Source organism: Homo sapiens, chromosome X (assembly GCF_000001405.40).
Source record: "Homo sapiens chromosome X, GRCh38.p14 Primary Assembly".
In the NCBI taxonomy this organism is placed as follows: Eukaryota; Metazoa; Chordata; class Mammalia; order Primates; family Hominidae; genus Homo; species Homo sapiens.
Genome location: NC_000023.11, coordinates 55,326,931 through 55,350,373, shown reverse-complemented (window position 1 = coordinate 55,350,373; position 23,443 = coordinate 55,326,931). Strand labels below are relative to the sequence as shown.

At 43.2% G+C, this 23,443-nt stretch overlaps 1 annotated feature.

The window, feature by feature from the left end:
* Positions 7,555-8,056: an enhancer, noted in NCBI's record as "H3K4me1 hESC enhancer chrX:55368751-55369252 (GRCh37/hg19 assembly coordinates)". NCBI's record gives its function as "activates a minimal SCP1, AML or CMV promoter by ChIP-STARR-seq in primed H9 embryonic stem cells {active_cell/tissue: H9 hESC(primed)}" and the evidence as "EXISTENCE:reporter gene assay evidence [ECO:0000049][PMID:30033119]".

Below are 23,443 nucleotides of genomic sequence, written 5' to 3'. Positions count from 1 at the left end.
ACCAAAATCTGTTAGAAGTAATAAATGAATACACTGTAAAGTTGTAGGATACAAAGTCAACATGCAAAAATCAGTAGCATTTCTATACACTAACCATTAACTATCTGAAAAAGAAAATGGGAACAATCCTGTTTACAATAGCAACAACAACAAAGAATACTCAGGAGTAAATTTAATCAATGAGGTGATAGACCTGTACGATGAAAACTATAAAAACACTGAAGAAAAAAATCGAAGAAGACACAAAACATGGAAAGATATCCCATATTTCATGGATTACAAGAATTAATATTGTTAAAATATGTATACTACCCAAGGTGACCCACAGAGTCAATGCAGTCCCTACCAAAATTTCAATGTTTTTATTCAGGGAAATAGAAAAAAAATCCTAAAATTCACAGGAAACCACTAAAAATACTAAATGGCCAAGGCAATCATGAGCAAAAAGAACAAAGCTGGAGGCATCATTGTACCTGATTTCAAACTATATTACAAAGCTATAATAAATAAAATAGTATTGCACTGGCAAAAAACAGACACATTGACCAGCAGAGCAGAATAGAGAGCCCAGAACTGAACTCACACATGTACAGTCAATTGATTTTTTTTAACAAAGTTGCCAAAAATACACAATAAGGAAAGGATAGTTTCTTCAATAAATGGTGTGAAAACTGGATATCCACGTGAAGATAATTGTGAAACTGGACCCTTATTTCACACTAGATACAAAAGTCAACTCAGAGTGGATTAAAAACATAAGACCTGAAACTGCAAAATTACTAGAAGAAAACATAGTGGAAAAACTACAAAACATGGTCTAGGCAATGATTTTTTGCATTTGACTGCAAAAGCATAGGCAACAAAAGTAAAAAGAGATAAATGAGATTACATAAAATTAAAAAGCTTCTGCACAGCAAAGGAAACAAGAGTATAAAGAAACAACCTAATGATTAAGAGAAAATATTTGGAAACCATACATACAATAAGGGGTTAATATCCAAAATATATCAGTAATTCCAACAATTCAACATCAAGAAAAAATCTAAAAAATGGACAAGAAACTTGAATAGACATTTTTCTTTTTTTTTTTTTTTTTTTTTTGAGACAGAGTCTTGCTCTGTCGCCCAGGCTGGAGTGCAGTGGCGCTATCTCGGCTCACTGCAAGCTCCGCTTCCTGGGTTCACGCCATTCTCCTGCCATAGCCTCCCAAGTAGCCAGGACTACAGGCGCCTGCCACCATACCCGGCTAATTTTTTGTATTTTTAGTAGAGACAGGGTTTCACTCTGTTGGCCAGGATGGTCTTGATCTCCTGATGTCGTGATCTGCTGGCCTTGGCCTCGCAAAGTGCTAGGATTACAGGCGTGAGCCACTGTGCCTGGCCGAATAGACATTTTTCAAAAGAAGACATACAAATGATCAACAGATATATATTAAAAATGCTTGATATCACTCATCGTTAGTAAAATGCAAATTAAAAACACAATGAGATATTATCTCACACGTGTCAGGATGGCTATTATCAAAAAGATGACAAGTGCTGGCAACGATGTGGTGAAATGGGAACACTTGTACATTGCTGGCAAGAATATAAATCAGTACAGTCATTATGGAAAACAGTAAGGAAGTTCCTCAACAAACTAAAAGTTGATAAACCATATGATCCAGCCATCCCCCTTCTTGATATTTGCCAAAAAAATATTGAAATCAGTTTGTTGAAGAGATGTCCGCACAGCACTATTCACCATAGACAAGTTACGGAATCAACCTAAGTGTCCATGAACAGATAAATGGATAAATAAAATATGGCATATATACCCAGTGGAATATTATTCAGCCTTAAAAAAGAAGAAACTTCTGTCATTTGCAACAACATGGATAGAACTGGAGAACATTACACTAAGTGTAATATGTCAGGCATAGAAAGACAAATACTGCATGATCTCATTTATATGTAGAATCTAAAACAATGAAACTCATATAAGCAGAGAGTAGAATGGTGGTTACAGAGTCTGCAAGGGTTGGGGGAATGAAGAGATGATGGTCAAAGAGTACAAAATATCAGATAGATTGAAAGATAAGTTTTTTGAGATCTATTGCACAGCATGGTAAATATAGTAAATAAACTTGGATTGTACATTTCTTTTCTTATTATGCATTAAGTTTTATGGTACATGTGCACAACATGCAGGTTAGTTACATATGTATACATATGCCATGTTGGTGTGCTGCACCCATTAACTCGTCATTTAACATAAGGTATATCTCCTAATGCTACCCCTACCCCCTCCCCCCACCCCACAACAGGCCCGAGTGTGTGATGTTCCCCTTCCTGTGTCCATGTGTTCTCATTGTTCAATTCCCACCTATGAGTGAGCACATGCAGTGTTTGGTTTTTTGTCCTTGCAATAGTTTGCTGAGAATGATGGTTTCTAGCATCATCCATGTCCCTACAAAGGACATGAATTCATCAGTTTTTATGGCTGCATAGTATTTCATGGTGTATATGTGCCACATCTTCTTAATCCAGTCTATCATTATTGGACATTTGGGTTGGTTCCAAGTCTTTGCTATTGTGAATAGTGCTGCAATAAACATACGTGTGCATGTGTCTTTATAGCAGCAAGATTTATAGTTCTTTGGGTATATACCCAGTAATGGGATGGCTGGGTCAAATGGTATTTCTAGTTCAAGATCCCTGAGGAATCGCCACACTGACTTCCACAATGGTTAACTAGTTTCCAGTCCCACCAACAGTGTAAAAGTGTTCCTATTTCTCCACATCCTTTCCAGCATCTGTTGTTTCCTGACTTTTTAATGATTGCCATTCTAACTGGTGTGAGATGATATCTCACTGTGGTTTTGATTGGCATTTCTCTGATGGTCAGTGAGGATGAGCATTTTTTCGTGTGTTTCTTGGCTGCATAAATGTCTTCTTTTGAGAAGTGTCTGTTCATATCCTTTGCCCACTTTTTGATGGGGTTGTTTGTTTTTTTCTTGTAAATTTTTTGGAGTTCATTGTAGATTCTGGATATTAGCCTTTTGTCAGATGAGTAGATTGCAAAAATTTTCTCCCATTCTGTAGGTTGCCTGTTCACTCTGATGGTAGTTTCTTTTGCTGTGCAGAAGCTCTTGAGTTTAATTAGATCCCATTTGTCAATCTTGGCCTTTGTTGTCATTGCTTTTGGTGTTTTAGACATGAAGTCCTTGCCCATGCCTATGTCCTGAATGATATTGCCTAGGTTTTCTTCTACAGTTTTTATGGTTTTAGGTCTAACATTTAAGTCTTTCATCCATCTTGAATTAATTTTTGTATAAGGTGTAAGGAAGGGATTCAGTTTCAGCTGTCTACATATTGCTAGCCAGTTTTCCCAGCACCATTTATTAAATAGGGAATCCTTTCCCCATTGCTTGTTTTTGTCAGGTTTGTCAAAGATCAGATGGTTGTAGATATGTGGCATTATTTGAGGGTTCCGTTCTGTTCCGTTGGTCTGTATCTCTGTTTTGGTACCAGTACCATGCTGTTTTGGTTACTGTAGCCTTGTGTATAGTTTGAAGTCAGGTAGCATGATGCCTCCAGCTTTGTTCTTTTGGCTTAGGATTGAATTGGCAATGCGGGCTCTTTTTTGGTTCCACGTGAACTTTAAAGTAGTTTTTTCCAATTCTGTGAAGAAAGTCATTGGTAGCTTGATGGGGATGGCATTGAATCTATAAATTACGTTGGGCAGTATGGCCATTTTCATGATATTGATTCTTCCTATCCATGAGCATGGAATGTTCTTCCATTTGTTTGTATCCTCTTTTATTTCCTTGAGCAGTGGTTTGTACTTCTCCTTGAAGAGGTCCTTCACATCCCTTGTAAGTTGGATTCCTAGGTATTTTATTCTCTTTGAAGCAATTGTGAATGGGAGTTCACTCATGATTTGGCTCTCTGTTTCTCTGTTATTGGTGTATAAGAATGCTTGTGATTTTTGCACATTGATTGTGTATCCTGAGACTTTGCTGAAGTTGCCTATCAGCTTAAGGACATTTTGGGCTGAGACGATGGGGTTTTCTAGATATACAATCATGTCATCTGCAAACAGGGACAATTTGACTTCCTCTTTTCCTAATTGAATGCCCTTTATTTCCTTCTCCTGCCTGATTGCCCTGGCCAGAACTTCCAACACTATGTTGAATAAGAGTGGTGAGAGAGGGCATCCCTGTCTTGTGCCAGTTTTCAAAGGGAATGCTTCCAGTTTTTGCCTATTCGATATGATATTGGCTGTGGGTTTGCCATAGATAGCTCTTATTATTTTGAGATAAGTCCCATCAATACCTAATTTATTGAGAGTTTTTAGCATGAAGGGCTGTTGAATTTTGTCAAAGGCCTTTTCTGCATCTATTGAGATAATCGTGTGGTTTTTGTCATTGGTTCTGTTTATATGCTGGATTACATTTATTGATTTGTGTATGTTGAACCAGACTTGCATCCCAGGGATGAAGTCCACTTGATCATGGTGGATAAGCTTTTTGATGTGCTGCTGGATTAGGTTTGCCAGTATTTTATTGAGGATTTTTACACCAATGTTTGTCAGGGATATTGGTCTAAAATTCTCTTTTTTTGTTGTGTCTCTGCCAGGCTTTGATATCAGGATGATGCTGGCCTCCTAAAATGAGTTAAGAAGGATTCCCTCTTTTTCTATTGATTGGAATAGTTTCAGAAGGAATGGTACCAGTTCCTCCTTGTACCTCTGGTAGATTTCGGCTGTGAATCCTTCTGGTCCTGGACTTTTTTTGGTTGCTAGACTATTAATTATTGCCTCAATTTCAGAGCTGTTATTGGTCTATTCAGTGATTCAACGTCTTCCTGCTTTAGTTTTGGGAGGGTGTATGTGTCGAGGAATTTATCCATTTCTTCTAGATTTTCTAGTTTATTTGCGTAGAGGTGTTTATAGCATTCTTTAATGGTAGTTTGTATTTCTGTGGGATCGGTGGTGATATCCCCTTTACCATTTTTTATTGCATCTATTTGATTCTTCTCTCTTTCCTATTAGTCTTGCTAGCAGTCTATCAATTTTGTTGATCTTTTCAAAAAACCAGCTCCTGGATTCACTGATTTTTTGAAGGGTTTTTTGTGTCTCTATTTCCTTCAGTTCTGCTCTGATCTTAGTTATTTCTTGCCTTCTGCTAGACCAAATGTAGATTTGGTCTTTTCACATAGTCCCATATTTATTGGAGGCTTTTTTCGTTTCTTTTTACTCTTTTTTCTCTAACCTTGTCTTCTCGCTTTATTTCATTAATTTTATCTTCAATCACTGATACCCTTTCTTCCACTTAATTGAATCGGCTATTGAAGCTTGTGCATGTGTCACGAAGTTCTCATACTGTGGTTTTCAGCTCCATCAGGTCATTTAAGGTCTTCTCTACACCATTTATTCTCTATAGCCATTTGTCTAATCTTTTTTCAAGGATTTTAGCTTCCTTGCAATGGGTTAGAGCATGCTCCTTTAGCTTGGAGAAGTTTGTTATTACCGACCTTCTAAAGCATACTTCTGTCAACTCATCAAAGTCATTCTCCATCCAGCTTTGTGCCGTTGCTGGCAAGGAGCTGTAGTCCTTTGGAGGAGAAGAGGTGCTCTGGTTTTTAGAATTTTCAGCTTTTCTGCTCTGGTTTCTCCCCATCTCTGTGGTTTTATCTACCTTTGTTGTTTGATATTGGTGACCTACAGATGGGGTTTTGGTGTAAATGTCCTTTTTGTTAATGTTGATACTATTCTTTTCTGTTTGTTAGTTTTCCTTCTGACAGTCTGGTCCCTCAGCTGAAGGTCTGTTGGAGTTTCCTGGAGGTCCATTCCAGACCCTGTTTGCCTGGGTATCACCAGCGGAGGCTGCAGAACAGCAACTATTGCAGAATAGCAAATATTGCTTCCTGATCTTTCCTCTGGAAGCTTTGTCTCAGAGGGACACCTGCCTGTATGAGGTGTCAGTCGACCCTTACTGGGAGGTGTCTCCCAGTTAGGCTACACGGGGTCAGGGACCCACTTGAGGAGGCAGTCTGTCTGTTCTCAGAGCTCCAACGCTGTGCTGAGAGAATCACTGCTCTCTTCAGAGCTGTCAGACAGGGACATTTAAGTCTGCAGAAGTTTCTGCTGCCTTTTGTTCAGCTATGCCCTTCCCACATAGGTGGAACCCATAGAGGCAGTAGGCCTTGCTAAGCTGCAGTGCCCAGTTTGAGTTTCCCTGCTGCTTTGTTTACCTACTCAAGCCTCAGCAATGGCAGATGCCCCTCCCCCAACCAGTCTGCAGCCTCACAGGTCAATCTCAGACTGCTGTGCTAGCAGTGAGCAAGGCTCCGTGGGCACGGGACCCACCGAGCCAGGCACTGGAAAATATCTCCTCGTCTGCTGGTTGCTAAGACCATTAAAAAAGTGCAGTATTTGGGCAGGAATGTCCCGTTTTTTCAGGTACAGTCTGTCACAGCTTCCCTTGGCTAGGAAAGGGAAATCTCCCGACCCCTTGCACTTCCTGGGTGAGGTGATGCCCTGCCCTGCTTCGGCTCACCCTCCATGGGCTCCACCCACTGTCCAACCAGTCCCAGTGAGATGACCCAGGTATGTCAGTTGGAAATGCAGAAATCACCCATCTTCTGCGTGGGTCACGCTGGGAGCTGCAGACCGCAGCTGTTCCTATTCAGCCATCTTGGAACGGGATCCGCAATCCATATTTTGAATTCTTTATCTGTCATTTCAGACATTTCATTCTGGTTAGGATCCGTTGCTAGGGAGCCAGTGTGAGCCTTTGGAGGTGTCAAACTGGATATTTTACTGTTGGAGTCCTTGCTCTGATTCCTTCTCATTTGAGGGAGCTGTTGCTTCTCATTTTTGAATTTCCTATCATTTGAATGGGGCCTTTTAGCTTTTTAATTCTTTTTTTTCCCCTTGAGGGTATGACTGGTATATGTTGTGTAAGACTGACTGGCTTCATTTCCGATGCTTTCATGGGGCCAAGGATCTGTATGGGCTCGTTTGTTGTGGTTAGGTTCTGGGGAGAAGCATTCTCAGATTCTGCTTATTGTAGCCATGTAGTTTTGTTTGGTGGTGCAGTTCAGGATGCAGTCCAGTAGAGGGAGCGAAAGAGTGAGAACCAGTATGGTGCCCAGTGGATGCACCTGCCCTGACAGGGATGGCAGAAAGAAATTGTGTTGGGGTGTGCTGAAAGTCTCGGGATGGTGGCGGGGCAGGGAAGGAATGTGGGGGAAGATGTGCACCAACTCCTTTTCCTGGGCCAGCAGAAACACTATCCACTTCCCTATCAAGCCCCAGTTGCAGGACTCGTGACCTTCTATTTATAAAGGCTTTGTCCTTTGGTTCCTGCCATAGTGCGGCTCTGGCCTTAGATCCTGCTCTCTAATGGTTACCACTAGAATGGGGATGGGGCAGAGCCTCTTCCCCTAGTCCAGGACAGGCAACTCTACACTCTGACCGTTGTTGCCGGGACGCTGCTGCTCTGTGTAGGGTGGGAACTTGGGCCCTGCCCTTCTAGAAAGCCTCAGCAGGCGCAGGCTCACTTTCAGCTAGGGTAGGGCCACCGGAAAAACACAAAAAGCATTTTCTTTTAGTGCATGCTCACCGGGACTCCTGTAAGAACCGCCACTCACTCGGGAACTGTGTGTTGGGACGGGGGTAGGGACGGCGGTGCAGGGATGTTGGCAGAGAGAGACGGTGTAGGGGGAGAGGGGGAGGGGTGTTAGCAGAGGGAGGTTTTTTTGGGGGAAGGAAGGGGTGCTGGAGGAGGGATGTGGTGGGCATTATTGGCGGCGGGTGGGGAGGGGTGTTGGCCAGTGGGGGTGGTGTGTGTGGGAGATGACACTCTCTCCAGGCCCATTCCTGGGCGTCCATGCTGCCCCCTTCAGCAGTTTGTGCTGTGTCCGCATTTCCTTTGTCCCAAGTGGGACCCCCTCCCTTAGGGGCGGACCGCGTTAAGGATTAGATCTCCAAGGGGCCACATGTCCCTGGGGAACTACTGGTTCCTGGTGCTTGTCAAAGTCAGAATGATGTGAAAGCAAAATAAAAACTTGGGGCCCCGATTCACTGCACCAAAAGAAAAAAAAAATAAGCTGAAAGCTGAGTCATGCAAGAAGTTAGCTTTCCTTTTGTTCCTAAGCAGATAGCTACAGATAAAAGGTGGATACTCCGTGTTCACCTTATCATATGTAAAGTGCTGATTTACTGAGCTCAAGGTTAATACATAATTGACTATTCCTCTACCTGCTCCTTTTCTCTTGCAACATGTGAATTACCATACTCTCCTTTTCCCCTCCAGCTTGCTTTTCCCCTTTAAATACTGAAGACTTCAAAATCATCTTTGGAAAAAAACACAGACCTCTCTCCCACCCAGGTCCTTAACCTTGGCAAAATAAAACTTCTAAGCTGATTGAGACTTGTCTCAGATACTTGTTGGTTTACCATGGGTAATGGGGTATGTTTGCAGGTGGTCTGGTGGTGCAGTGGCACTACCCAGCAGTGGGGCTTTGGGGCAGAGGGGCTTTGACAGTCAGCAGATTGCCAGACGGGTGAGGGGAGCAGAGAAGCACTCCCATTTACCCTGTCCACAGGGCTCTGAGATCCTCAGGGATCTCAGCCAGGCTCTTGCTGCTTTCTTTTCCTGAGCTCCAGCTTCTTCCTGTGGGTACTCCTAAAGGTCCTGGCCCTCTTTCCTCCATTTTCCATTCAAAAGTTGTCCATTCACAGTAACTTTGATCTTCTTTCTGAAGAGAACTGGCATGTCCCTAGTCAATCATCTTGAAACCTCTCCTACTGGTCTTAAGTCCTGTTCCTTTCTCTCACCCTCTCCTCTCTCATAGATGATCTTGCCCACTTTCAGGCCTCAGTCTCTATTCACATGCTAATGAGAGTCCTCTGCTCCTGTGGTCAGCCCAGATTTCTCACCTCTGGACTTATTCTGTTTGAATGTCTTATAAATAATCTAAGCACAGTTTCTCCCCTTGACGAGCCCCTAATCCCGTCCCCTTCCTAATGGGTTTTTGTGCTGTTGACTGACAACCGCATTGCATCAAGCAGGAAGTAGCCTGGAAACCACCCTGGACAACTCCCTCTTTCTCACCTCATTCCCTCCCCCACCTCCAGTAAGCACCCTTATCTTCTGGATTCTACCTCACTGACTCAGTCTCTTCCTTCTGCCCTGGTAGCCACTGCCCCAGTTCAGGTCTTGCCTTCCCTTACTTGTACAACTAGGTGCACCAGCCTCCTCATACACAGTCTTGGGCCCAGCCTCTCAGCCTCCACATCCATGACATAAGCAGTCTTTCTAAAACAAGACTTCAGCTAGGGCCTTTGATTTCAAACAGTAAAAACTAATTCTGACTAACCAAAGCAAAAGGAAGTATAATGCAAGGCTGTGGGAGAGCTCACAGAATCAAAATCTAGGTTGACGGCATGAATCAGCTACAGCTATTTTCAGTTCTCAAGTTACTTTAATGAAAATTCAAATTCCAAGGAAGAAAGTCTACTTGTTCCCACTTGTGTCACTGGCCCTCCCTTTTGCCAGAGGAGTTCTAGCACTTCAATTGACTGTCCCACTAAGACTGCATTAAAGAAGGGGGTAAGGGTATAGATATTGGGCAAACAAACCCCACAGATGTCCACTACAGTCCACTGCTTGGCTGCCTGAAGTCTGCATCTGCTCACCTTCTCATATACACAAGATCAATAATACTTCCACTTAGCATGGCACACCTTTTCAGCAAAAATGGCTATTAATCCAAGACATTCAGGTGATGCCCATTCCACTTCTAGTGTTGCCCTAGGCCACTTTATTATTCTCCAAATTATGGACTAAGTAACAAATTTAACTACTTCCAACACAGCTTATGTAATAGTGAAGAGGACTGGTGAAAGGGCTAAGGAGTAGAAATAAATGGAAGAGATTAACTAAATTTACAGTAAAGAACATAAACACAAGTATTAGTTCCTGTTGCAGTTAACATGGCTGCATAATAAATAATCCCAAAGGTATTAGTCAGCGTTCTCTAGAGGGACAGAACTAATAGGATAGATGTATATATAAATGGGAGTTTATTAAGGAGTATTGACTCACATGATCACAAGGTGAGGTCCCACAATAGGCCGTCTGCTAGCTGAGGAGCAAAGAAGCCAGTCCAAGTCCCAAAGCTGAATAACTTGGGGTCTGATCTTCGAGGGCAGGAAGCATCCAGCATGGGAGAAAGACGTAGGCCAGAAGACTAAAGCAGTCTAGACTTTTTACGTTCTTCTATCTGCTTTTATTCTGACAAAGCTGGCAGCTGATTCAATTGTGCCCACCCAGATTGAGGGTGGGTCGGCCTTTCCCAGTCCATTCGCAGTAACTCATATGTTAATCTCCCTTGGCAACACCCTTACAGACACACACAGGAACAATACTTTGCATCCTTCAATCCAATCAAGTTCACACTCAGTATTAACCGTCACACCAAATGTAGTGGATTAAAACACTGACAATGCTGTCAAATATGGAATTTGGGTAGGGCTTTTTAGGAATAGCTAATCTCTGCTTCTCTTGGATTCCACTGGGGTTGCTTAAAGGCAGGAGGCTAGGATCATCTGAAGGCTCACTCAATCACATGTCTGCTAGTAAATATTGGCTGCCACCTGAGACCTGTGCTAGGGCTGCTGATTGCAACACTCATATGTTCTCTTCATGTGGCCTGAGCTTCCCTGTAACTTGGTGGCTGGTTTTCAGGGTGAGCATTCCAAGAAAAAGAGGGAAAGAACCGAGAAGAAACTGTACCTTTTTGATGACCTAGTTTAAGAACTCACTTAGCATCATCTCCTGGGTGCTCTCTCAGTTGGAGGGGTCACAAGCCACCCAAGTTCAAGACGAGAGGAAACAGACTCCACCTCTTTGTGTGAGAATGACAAAATGATCATTTTGGGGAAATATATTCTTCCACAATTACCCTGTTATTCAACTTTGCAACATGTTGGAAAGCTTAGCTGTACTGCCTGGATGGTTTTGCAGTGTCTTCTACTAGGCATCATGGTAGCACAAGCTGCACCCCTAAAGATCCTCTGGGTCCTGTCCACTCTCTTGCTTGCCTCTACTGTCATAAAACAAGCTTCTTATCAATCATCTGGCTGCCACCTTATTTGCTCTTTGCTTGTTAACTCTAAATGCATACATACCTAATGTCCTCAAGTGTAAAAAAGAGATAATCATAGATAGCTTAAAGGGTATGAATTATCAGTTAGATGGGAAGAATATTTTTGAGATTTATTGCACAACATGGTTAATATAGCTAATAATGGAGTTTTCTACATTTCAAAATTACTGAGTGTAAATTTCAAATGTTCGCACCACAAGAAATCTTAAGTATTTGAGGTGATGGATATGTTACCTAGCTTGATTTAATTATTTCACATTGCATTAATAAATTATAACATCATTTTGTACCCCATAAATATATACAATTATAAATTGTCAATTTACAATAAAAATTAAAAGACAAAAATTAAAACTGAAAAAAATAATCAACTAGGAAAATAAACATCAAAATGTTTTATCACCTGGCACATAGCTGGTGCTCAATCTGGTCTATTTCTTTCCCTTCCATTTAGAAAGACCTAGCTCCAGCCTCACAAGTTATTATCACCATTACCAGCACAGTTCATCTTTGCCCCTATTTCATATGTCTTCTGATGCAGTCTAGTGCTGAAGGAATTCCAGGGGCAGTGCTAGACATGCAGTCTTGGCATGACCCATATAGCCTGCATATCAGAAATGCTGTTCCCATCCTCTTAAACCCCACTGCCATTTGGCAATTCTCTTGGGAAACAAACTTACCTACTCTGGTAACCATAGAGTCAGGAAATAATATTAATTCGTGCAAAAAAAATGTCGACAACTGCTAAGGTCAACAACACTGGACTGAGTTCTGTGAAGATGGAGAAGTTGAGAACTATTTCTGATCAAGGAAAAGGTTTAGCACATGATAGAAACCTTATAGAATGCAGCTGGGCACTCTGGCTCACGCCTGTAATCCCAGCACTTTGGGAGGCCGAGGCGGGTGAATCACCTGAGGTCAGGAGTTCGAGACCAGCCTGGCCAATATGGTGAAACCCCATCTCTACTAAAAATACAAAAATTAGCCAGGCGTGATGGCGGGTGCCTATAATCCCAGCTACTCGGGAGGCTGAGGCAGGAGAATAGCTTGAACCTGGGAGGTGGAGGTTGCAGTAAGCCAAGATTGTGCCATTGCACTCCAGCCTAGGCGACAAAAGTGGAACTCCATCTCAAAAAAAAAAAAAAAAGTAAAAATAAAATAAATAAATTCCTTTAAAAAACAAAAAGAAAAAAACCTCATGGAATGCATGTTGTGTATGCTTGTTGAATCAGTAAATGATTGAAGGATATTTGCATCTGAATCATTCATTTGATCTAGGGCAGACATTGGCTGAGATCACTGGTAAATCAAACAAGTGAAAAGAGAAACCATCCCTTAGATTTGGTGCTAGTCTGGGGAAGTAAAAGAGGATGGTTGTATGCACACACAAGCTCCCAGCTGGGACAGCAAACCCCTTCCCTTGACTGCTCATCCCAGGAACCAGATTTTGACCAGTGCCTTGAGCCTTTCTTCCCAGGTTTTACTTTCTATGGAGCAGGCTTGAAAGCAGAGAAAGCAGAGTAGACATGACTTTTTTGAACAAGTCGCTGACTGATAGCTCTCTCCTCTGCTAACACTTGCTTTATAGGATTCTCACCCAGAAATTATATTAAAGATGCATTTATTTCCAAAGAAAAAGCTACTAGTGAAGCAGTCAAAAGCTACTGAGGCCCTTTAAAATCTCTGTGCTAGGGTTGCTGAAGCAAATTTCTTTTCTTTTTGCAGACACGTAAGTTACTAACTTCAGTAGTTGCTAAAAGGTTGTCCTGATTTAAGGAAAACTTCCCGTGGCTGGAGTAAATCTGTATCACAGCCCCAGCCCTGGAAGGTCCCTGAGAAGCCATCTAGAGCCATGGCTACCAAACTTGGCCACGCATCAGATTTTCCTCAAGAGCCTGGGATCCCCAGGCTTGTCAAGTTAGAATCCCTAGGTGATTTTGATGTATCCACAGAAGTAGTTTGGGAAACATTAAATTAACCCTGTCACATAGGGTTTTGCAGATGAGGAAACTGAGGCTCACAAAATCAGAGGGATGCATCCAAGATCAAGCAGGAAGTTAGTGGTGGAGCTAGGACCCCAACCTGGTTTTTGCTCTATAAACCCAGTGTCTTACCATCGTCACACCATGTTTATATGCCTCTTAATGCTTGGGCCACATTCTTTATCTCTGCAGCCTACCCATGACTCTGCCATGGCACATACTAATACCCAACTGATACATGTGGGATTAACAGCAACATTCAACTTGACAAGTGGTTGTTAATTATTCCTCTAATACCTACCTCACAGAGGATGCCAGGAATACAAGAGTTCCAAGCTGTTTGAAATGCCACATCCAATCAGTCATTGAGTCTGATAAATTTTGCATTTCTCAGAGTTTTCATGTTCCCTTGTGTCCCAGACCTGGAGCTAGGGGATGGGAATTCAACAGAGACAGATACATCCAATTCTTGTCCTCATACATTCCACTGGCTGCCTCCTTAGTGGCTTCTTAATCCCTATACTTCTTTCCATGCCTAGACTAACTCTACTAGTCCAGGCCACCACCATCTCTACCCAGGATTGCCAGGCAACCTCCAATTTGGTCAGGTATCCTTTTTCCTGTGTCATGACCCTAAGGGCATTTGTCTGTCCCTGTCACTAGACTGTGACCACTGCAGGACACTGTGTCTGTTTTGCCATCACCATGTATTCCTTCCTTCTCAGAGTATCTGTAACATGATATATTCTTAAAATATTTCTTAAACATTAATGTGCTGCAATTGTAATATTTTACTTCCAATTTGAACAAGCCCTCTCATGTGGAGGAATGATTGGATTCATGACATTTCCCAGGAGTTATTATTAAGCAAACTTTTGGGAAGCAGCCAAATATCTGCAATCCAAAAGCATTTGTCCACTTATACATAAAATACATACAAATACATGGATCAGAGAAGAACTAGGCAATTTAGCTCCAAAAGAACTATTCTTTCTATGTTAAGAAATTCAGAACTCTTAATATCCCTATATATGGGTGGTTTTTTTGTTGTTGCTTTCTTTTTTTCTTTTTTCTTTTCTTTTCCTTTTTTTTTTTTTTTTTTTTTTTTTTTTTGAGATGGAGTCACTCTGTCACCCAGGCTGGAGTGTAGTGGTACAATCTCGGCTCACTGCAACCTCCACCTCCTGGGTTCAAGCGTTTCTCCTGCCTCAGCCTCCTGAGTAGCTGGGACTACAGGCACATGCCACCATGCCTGGCTAATTTTTGTATTTTTAGTAGAGACGGGGATTTACCATGTTGGTCAGGCTGGCCTCGAACTCCTGACCTCAGGTGATCCACCCACCTCAGCCTCCCAAAGTGCTGGGATTACAGGCATGAGCCACAGTGCCCGGCCTATATGGGTGTTTTTCTACCCAATTATGCAGACAAGGATGATGGCTCAGGGATGTTGAGTGTCTTACCAAGTTCACACAGCTGGTAGGCAACAGACATTTAATTGCAGGACCATACACCTTCTGAAATCTTGTTTTATCATCTCTCCCAAATACCTTTCTTTGAGAACTTTGTTTCAGATATGGACACTTGGTTGCATGGCTTAGAAGTCACGAAATCCTGAAACACTGCCTCCTACACTGAGAGACTGAGAGCCATGTTCTTATCACTAACTTTTATAAGCAGTGTCTCTGAACCAGGCCTTTGTTGTGTGTTGCATGTGGCTGCCTGCCTGAAGGGACTGTACAGGCTGCAGAAAGAAAGACAGGATGCAACTATATTAAATGTAACTCAAAACCAATAGTGAGGTATCCAACCAGGTCTTTGTGAAGCTCAAAGGAGAGAGAAAGCCCCATCTGGATGGGGCCCACAAAAGGATTCATGGGGGAGAAAAGAACAGAACTGTGCTTGCATGAGGGACACAATTCTGGTAGGAGAAAATGATGGAAAGTGGGAGGGCATTCTTAACAAGAGAAGAAGGGAGAGAAGGCACAGAGGCAGGAAGTTGGAAACGGATGGGGGAGGTTGAGGAGTTCAATTTGACTTGCACACAAAACACAAAACAGGTTGAGGGTGCAGAAGAGAGAGAAAGGCAGAGAGGTAGCCAGTGTCAGAGCATAGGGGATGATAGGGTAAACCGTGTGGAGGACATGAGCAGTCACAGCCACCTTGAGCTGAGCAGGGCCATGTCAGAGCTGCATATCAGCATTAACCTGCACAGTGCATGCAGGAAAGATTGGGCATTTGAAGGTAGGGACACAGCTTAAGAAGTTTCTGAACATCTGTCACCAGGGCTGTTACCCCCTAACCTAATGTGCAGGAGGTACCTCATTGCCCAACTTTGACCCTAACATAAGCAGTCTTACTGGAAGTGTGAGCATCACCTCCTAGGCTGTTGTAAATACAGGCCTGCTGCATACTGACTGCTTACACCCAGGTCCAGGACTGACCATGCCAATAAACATCTTCAAGCTCCACTCCAGGTCTCTGCTCCATTCCTGCTGCTCCTCCCCACACAACTCCAGGTTTTGGTGGAGCCTTTGGAAGCCTGGCCAATCTATCCTCAAGGAGAGTAAGTTCTGAATTAACCCAAGGCCACTGAGGTTGGTCCAAGAACTAACCTAGGCACTGAGAGGATTCCTGCTGCATAGCACCTGCTACCTGGATGGTACACAGTCAGATTTTTCCTGCATTTGTGGAAAGAGCTTAGACCTGGGAATCAGAAGCTTGGGCCCTACTCTTAGCTGTGCTCCTGTTTTCTTGTGTACTCTTGGCCCCAGAGTGTCTCTTCTCTGAGCCTACATTTTCTTGTCTGCAACACATGGCAGTTGACCCTAAAGTGGACTCTCAAGATCATTCTGGAGACAGCACAGGGTGGTCTTTCATTCTAGAATGCCCTTAGAAGTTCCTATGTGCAGACCTGCATTTCTGTGGCACAAAGCAGCACTTGCAGGTAGAGATGTGCCTGGTTAAGGTTGCTCCCTACTCACAATGGTCCACTCTGGCCTTGGGGCTCTTTCCCTTCCTGGATCTCTGTATAGAGCTGTGATTCACCAGTGCCTCCAACTCATAATACAGGATTGGCTAGGGATGTTTCATCTCCCATCTGGAAATGAAAACTATTTATTTACAGCTGACGTGAGTATAAATACATAATTGTATAGTAGACTCAGTGGGTGCTGATATTAACTTACAGTTCCCTGCATTGAGGGTCAAGTTGGGAGTCTCACGTGGCCCAGAGCAAAATGATTTTCCTTCTCCTGGTTTCTGCCTCATTCTTGCCCTGACTTATTATCCTGGCTCCATGCTCTCTGTCCTGGAGTCATGGCCATCTTCTACTTGGCTCATTACAAGAGTTTGCAAATATTATTACTTTCTCCCAATGCAGCTGAGCAATTGCTTCAATTATCTTGTCATCCTCAGTCATTTCTAAGTGATTGCCACTTTCCAAGTTGGCTGCATTTGTCCTGTCTGATGGCTGGTGTGGGTATGAGCTGTACCCATTCAGTGGCTTAGCCTCTCTCTCCAACACAAAATCCTGTCCTCTGCTCCCATGTTCCCTGTCATAGTTGTCAGTCTATTTAAACCCATACCCACTGTAATACATGAACTGTGGGAGACTCAAGGTTGAGCAAACGCAGTCCTTGTTTTTTAGGAATGACTGTTTGGAGTGGAGATACCAGGGAAGCTAACCCTCAGCTAATGCCTGCAAGGCAGTTATTGACAAGTGGGCTTTATCTCAGGTGAAAAAACAGTGGTTGGAAGAGGTACTCTGGTTGAGTGGTCACAACAGGCTTCCCCCTTGAGGGATGGCTTTTGGGCACAGCTTGGAGAACTGGGAGTATCTCTAACATAAGATGGGGGCCTTATTGAACCTTCAAAGGATAGTCCACTGTGGGCCAAAGTGAAGATGAGATAAAATTCAGGCACTTGGGAGAAGATGTAGAGTTCAATTTGAATGGAGGGAAGAAACACATAAAGAAGAAATTGGAAAAATCTGAAGACTTCTTTTGTAGCTTGATCATGTAACCTGAGCCCAGGATGAAGGGCTTGAAGGCCATTAAGCAGCTCTGGGAGCTATAAAAGGTTTCTCTGAAGGTCGTTACTTTTGTTCCCCAAACTTTCCTATCACCATATCTCCTATGCCTGACACAGACCAAGGCCTTGGGAAATGGCTGTTGAATGAATTAATGAATGTTTGGCCCACAGTCCCTGAAACTGTTTCGAATGCTTCTTTTGGAAAGCACATTTAATGTAACAGCACACATGAAAGGCAGGCAAGGAATTAAGGTTATGAGGAGGAAGGCAGCACTTGGTGGCTTATGAAGTACCTGCAAGATACACTGTCTGGAAGAGCTCCACTGCATCCCTGTAAAGTGAGCATTGTTGTTTCATGTTACAGACAAGGAAAAACAAGTCTCCCCAGGGCTAGTAACTGATGCACCCAATAACCCTTCTTTGGAAAGAGACTGAAGGCAAGCAGCAGACTATGAACAGCCAGCTCTAGAGCGAGACAGACCTTGATTCAGGCCTGGCATCGTGGTCCATGGGACCTTGAGTAAGTTACTTAACTTTTCCCTGCCTCAGACTCCTGACGATCAGGGTGCCCATCTCGCATAGCTGTGAGGAGAATTAGAGGAAAGGTGTCTGTGGAGTGCTTGGATGCTCATGGGTGCTAGGTAACTGATGGTGAGAAAAAAAAAACCACCAAATCCATAGGCCTTATGGTTTCAAAGGCCTCCTATTTTATGCCCACAGATGGATAACAAAGCCCAGAAAGGTTAGCGAACTTTTCAGAGGCTACACTGAGGTCAAGACTAAAACTCAGCCTTCACTTTCTTTTCCAGAAGGCAGTATTGCATGCTGAAAGCAGCACTGGCTCTGGTGCTGTACCAGTATGGATTCCAGTTTCCTTCTGCCACTTTTATTAGCTGCATGATGGTGGGTGATTGCTGCCCTGTCTCTGGCCACAATAGTCCTTCCCTCACAGGGCTGTTTTGAAATTCCCAGCACATCATTTATATGCAAGTGCTTTTAATAATATATATGCAAGTGCTATACGTCCATGATTGCATGGAGACCCTCTGAGATGAAGGGCTGGAGCTGACCACGACAAGTGTGAGGGTCTTTGGTTTGCTGGGCAGATGGGGAGCTAAGAAAGAAGTGAGAGAAGAAAGAGTGAGGTTGTAAAGGCATGATGGAAGTCTTAAATGTGAGAGGATACAAAAGCGGACTTGCTAACTAAATTGTGGTCCCTGGACCAGGAGCATCACCTGGGAGCTTGATAGAAATGCAGATCCTCAGACCCCACTGCCTATTTATTGGCTCTGAATATGCATTTCAAGCAGCTTCCCAGGTGATGTGTGTGTATATGAAACTCTGAGATTACTGACATAGAGAAAATCTCTGTTTTCAGCCTGACAACATAAAGAATATATTCAATAGAATATAATTGTAGCCAATAAAGTCTTGTCCTATTTCCTGACCCCTTTTGTCTTCCTAATGTTCACCATTCCTCCCACCATCTGGCATTTGCTCTGCACCCTCATGTCTTTTCAGTCAGATACCCAGCTGACGGATGCCTAACATTTGTGTGTTCTTTGCTCCAGCCTGTAGTGGCCTAGGCAGAGCCGCCAAGGTGCTTGCCGTTGAATACTCCCAAAGAAGAATATGTTGCACTGCATCTGGATGAACCATAGCACCATCAGAGGAGGGACTGGCTCTTCCTGACAGGTTGAAGATGCCATTTGCATGACAAATTTGGCAGCACTGAGAGATATGAGAGGGATGGGGTGCTGGGGATAGAAGAGAGAACCATTGTTAGGAAAGAAGCCACCATTAACAGAAGCACCATGATAAGTAAATAGTTCTTGACTTGACTATCAGTTCTGATAGGTTGGTTGTGGCTGTAGTCACATAGTGTTGAGAAAGATTCTGAGGTCTAATACAGATGCAGCAGGAAAGAATGTTATATTATTAGTCGGCTCTCCAGAGAAGCAGAACCTATATATTGAAGCAGGGGGGGCGGGGGGGAGAAAAGATTTGTTGTAAAGAAGTGGCTCATGTAATTAGGGACAGTGAGAAGTCCTACAATCTGCCATCTGCACATTCAAGAAACAGGAAAATTCCAGTTTGAGTACAAAGGCCTGGGAACCAGGAGCATAAATAGTATAATTCCCAGTCCTAGAGCAGGAGAAAACTGATGTCCCAACTCAAGCAGAGATAGAATTCAACCTTCCCCCACCTTTTTGTTGTATTCAGGCCCTTAGTGGATTAGATGATACCCATCCACATTGGTGAGGGCCACCTGCTTTACTTGGTCCACCAATTCAAGTGTTAACCTTTGCTGGAAACACTACACAACACACCCAGAAACAATGTTTAGCCTGATATCTGGGCATTCCATGGTCCAGCTTAGTTGGCACATAAAGTTAGCCAACACAAATGTCATAAACTCTCAGCAATAAGTGTAGGTCCCTATGCCAAACATATGCCCTCTCTGATTTAGATAAAATAATTTTGGTGTTGAACAATTTGGTTCAAATCCCAGGCTAACCATTTGCTTACTGTGTGGACTTTGTAAGTTGATAAGCCTCCCTGCCCTTGTTTTCTTCAAGGTTACTGAGAATTAGGGCACAGAGCAGGGGCTTGCTAACTCATCCAGAGGAGGATCATGTGAGAAACAATACAATTTCAGAAGTAACAGAGTTTGGTCTGATAAAATATGGGTGGAAGGAAGGAAAGGACCACTCAGGCAATTGGAACAGCAAGTGTAAAGGCCTAGAGATATGAAGTTGTCTGCAGTCCAGTTTGACTGCAGCGTGAGGTGTCCACAGTGGCAGGATGGAGAGGGAGACTATCTGCAGAGTGACTTCCAGGACAGCTCTAGGCCACGGTGCCCTTCCTTTTCCCAGTGCCATGTGCATTGACCCCTTGTTGGCATTTTAGGCCTTAGCTCATGAGTCATGTGACCATTCTTTGAATCTCAGCTTTACCACATATTAGCTACTTGATCTTGAGGTAATAGTTAATTCCTCAATGCCACAGTGTCATCACCTGCAGGACTGCAATAACAGTGGTATCATCTCATAGAGGGGTCATGAGCATTCAAGGATGTAGTTTATGTCAAGTCCCAAGAATAGTGATTGCCACAAATCATTGTTAAGCAATGTTGGCTGGTGTCAAGATCTGTCCCAAAAATGTCTTGTTCCTCACATAATATTCTTGGGGCAAGAGTTCCATCCATTTCCACTATATTATCCCCTGAACCTAACCCAGAACTAGGCACAATGAAAGAGCTTCATAGATACATATCCCACGATTGCTCCTTCCATACTTGCCTAGCCTCTCCAAGGATGCTCTCCTCTCTTAAAGTTCACTATTACTTGTGGAAGTAATTTAGATAATCCAGTTACCCTCCTTATTGTCAAGTTCAAATTTCTTAGTAAGCAAGTCCATTTATTCACTCTCTTATTCAAATACCCAAACACATAACCCACCACACACACACATACAACCCACCCCTTAGACCCTTCTGCAAGACTCTGCCCCCCTGAAGCTCTGGGCATCATGAAGGAGACAAGTAGGTAATCAGAAAGTTCTAATGCAGGATGATAAGTGCTCTACATAGGAGCACAGAGCAGGGTGCCTCACCTGGCCAACCTAGTGAGGGGTTGACAGAAAAGGTTGAGATCCAGATGCTAAGGAAGACTTAGTTAGCAAATGCAGGTGGGGAGGGGGAAGTCTGACAAAAGTTCAGTCTGGAGGAGAGGAAAGTTCTTTGATCTTAGGGAACTGCAATTGCTCTAGTGTGGACAATGGGGGTGAGGAAGAGGTAGCCATGAGGGTGGAGAAGCTACCAGAGACCAGGTCATAAAGAGATACATATGTCAAGTCAAGAGCATAGATTTTATTCTGAAGGATTTGGTTACTCATGGAAAGTTTTAAGTAGGAGGCAGTGACATGATTAGTTTGCCTTTTGAGGAGCCTTCTGTATGCAATGAGGTGAAGGAATGAATGGTGAGTTGGATACAAATGAACTGGAGGCTGTGAGACCATTAGAAGTCTATTGTAGGGGTCAATGAATAGATGAGAATGGTGGCAATGGAAGATGGCCCTTATTTTTTTCAGTAGAAAAGCTCCAACTTGGCCTATCATCATGGGGTAGAAAAGAGGAGCAAGATTCAGACACTTAGAAGGTGGAACCAATGGCCTGCCATCATCAACTGGATATCAGGAAGGAGACAAAGGGAGAAGGCTATGCAGATGCATGGTGTCTAGTTTGGGGCAGGCTATCTGGCAGTGCCACTCAAGTGAATAAAAAATACACTACAGAGAGCCAAGAGGAAAGAGGATGAACTCAGACCTTTCTCAATCAATTTCTCTTTCCTCTCTCCATCTGGCACCGTCTTTCCCTTCATGTTTCTACTCCAACTGCACCAGAATAATAGCTTTTCCCCAGCCATGCTTCTCCACCTTTGTTCATGCTGGCCCCTGCCTGCTGTGACCTCCTTTTATCTTCTTGTCTTTTAGTGTCCATGCCAAATATCACTCCCCAATGGTCCAACATAAGAATTGGATTTCCTCTTTGCCTGGCCTGCTCCTTGCCTTTATCACTAATCACAGTCATATCAGGAGTAGTTGCCTAAATATATGCTTTTTCCAGCAGGTATTACAGTCATCTCTTTGTGCTTGGACATGGCTGACTTCCAAGTCTGAACATGAATGGGGACTGAATTGACTTTTTCCCTCAGGATGGGGGCCTGTGCACCCATTATCCACATGCCAAATGCCTAAAGTCCCTGAAATATGCTTGTTCCTGCAGAGTAAGTTGTAATGGGTAAGCCTTAATCCCTGTTCTCAGTGAACTATGGGGTCTACTCAGAAAGTCTGAGTCAGAGCAAGCCTGGCTGAAGCTAGAAAGACTGTAACTAAATGATAGCAGTGAATTAGAAGTGAAAAACTGGGATTCATTGCAAGGAAAGGAAATTACCTGATACAGTTGGAGGCTACCAGGAGGAAATGTCATTTAGGGACTTGGAGTATGGGTAGTATATTGTTTATCTATTGCTACATAACAAATTACCACAAATTTAACAGGTTAAAAAAATACATTCATTATCTGACCGTTTCTGATGGCCAAAAGTCTGAATATTATTTAGATGGTTCCCCAGCTCAGGGTCTCATAAGGCTGTAATGAAGGCATCAGTCATGACTGTGTTCTTATCTGGAGGCAAGGCTGGAAAAGAACTCACTTCCAGTCTCAGGTTAGTGGTAAAATTCATTTCCTTACAGGACTGATGGCTCTGGATTCTTGCTGGTAGTCATTGATGGCTGAAGTTACTAGAGTCTGGCAGTTCCTTGCCATGCAGACTTCCCCAACATGGCCACCTCAACGAGAGTCTCTAGAACACGTTTTCTGGCAAGATGGAGTCGTATATAACATAATGAAATCATCTAAGTGACACTAATAACTTGTGCTGTAGTCTAACAGTGTAAAGCAAGTGGATTTATGCTTCTGGGAGGAGGAAATAGGCATACTTTCTCCTATTTCTTCCACTGTACAACTAAAAGCCTTAGGCATTAAATAAAACAAACGCAAGACTCTGAAAGGCAGAGAGAAGAGAGTAAACCAATTATGGACCTCCAAACCCTGGGAAAAAACCGGTGGTGTATACCCTGAGTTTTCTTTTTCTTTTATATATCCTGGACTTGAAGTTGATGAAGACAGTGACCTAGAAACACCAACAGGGCACAGACAAAAAAAAGTCTGAACAAAAGTCTGCTCTTTCTAGCCAAAGAACCAGGGGAAGGGCAGCCTAGCACGGCAGAAAACTTTTAGACAGTAACTGCTTCACTCCAACCAAATAAACGCACACACAAACTCATAAAACTGCTCCACCGCACCCATGCTAGCAAAGTCTGAGCAGGAAGCCTAAACTTACTTCCTTGAGAGGATATAATGAGAAATGTAGCAGCCCTATCAGAGTGGTAGTGAGGAAAGTTGAGTAGGAAACTAGGCCTTTCATTCCCATCAGCGAGTAATTAGCGTTTTCCTTCCTTAGCGTTATCAGTGGAGACCAGGTGGCAAGCTTGGACTTCCACTCCCATCTGGCAGTAAAAAAGCACCTTTCTCCCCTCTAGGGTGGTGTCAGAGGAAGCCTAATAGAGAGTCAGGACTTTCACCACTGCCAAGAAGTAATGAAGTCATCCCTATTGTAATGCTATTAAAAGCCACTCAGCTATAATGTGGTACTGGTGGAAACTTCCCAGCAATAATAATGAACCCGCCATTGGATGTCAGTGAAAGCC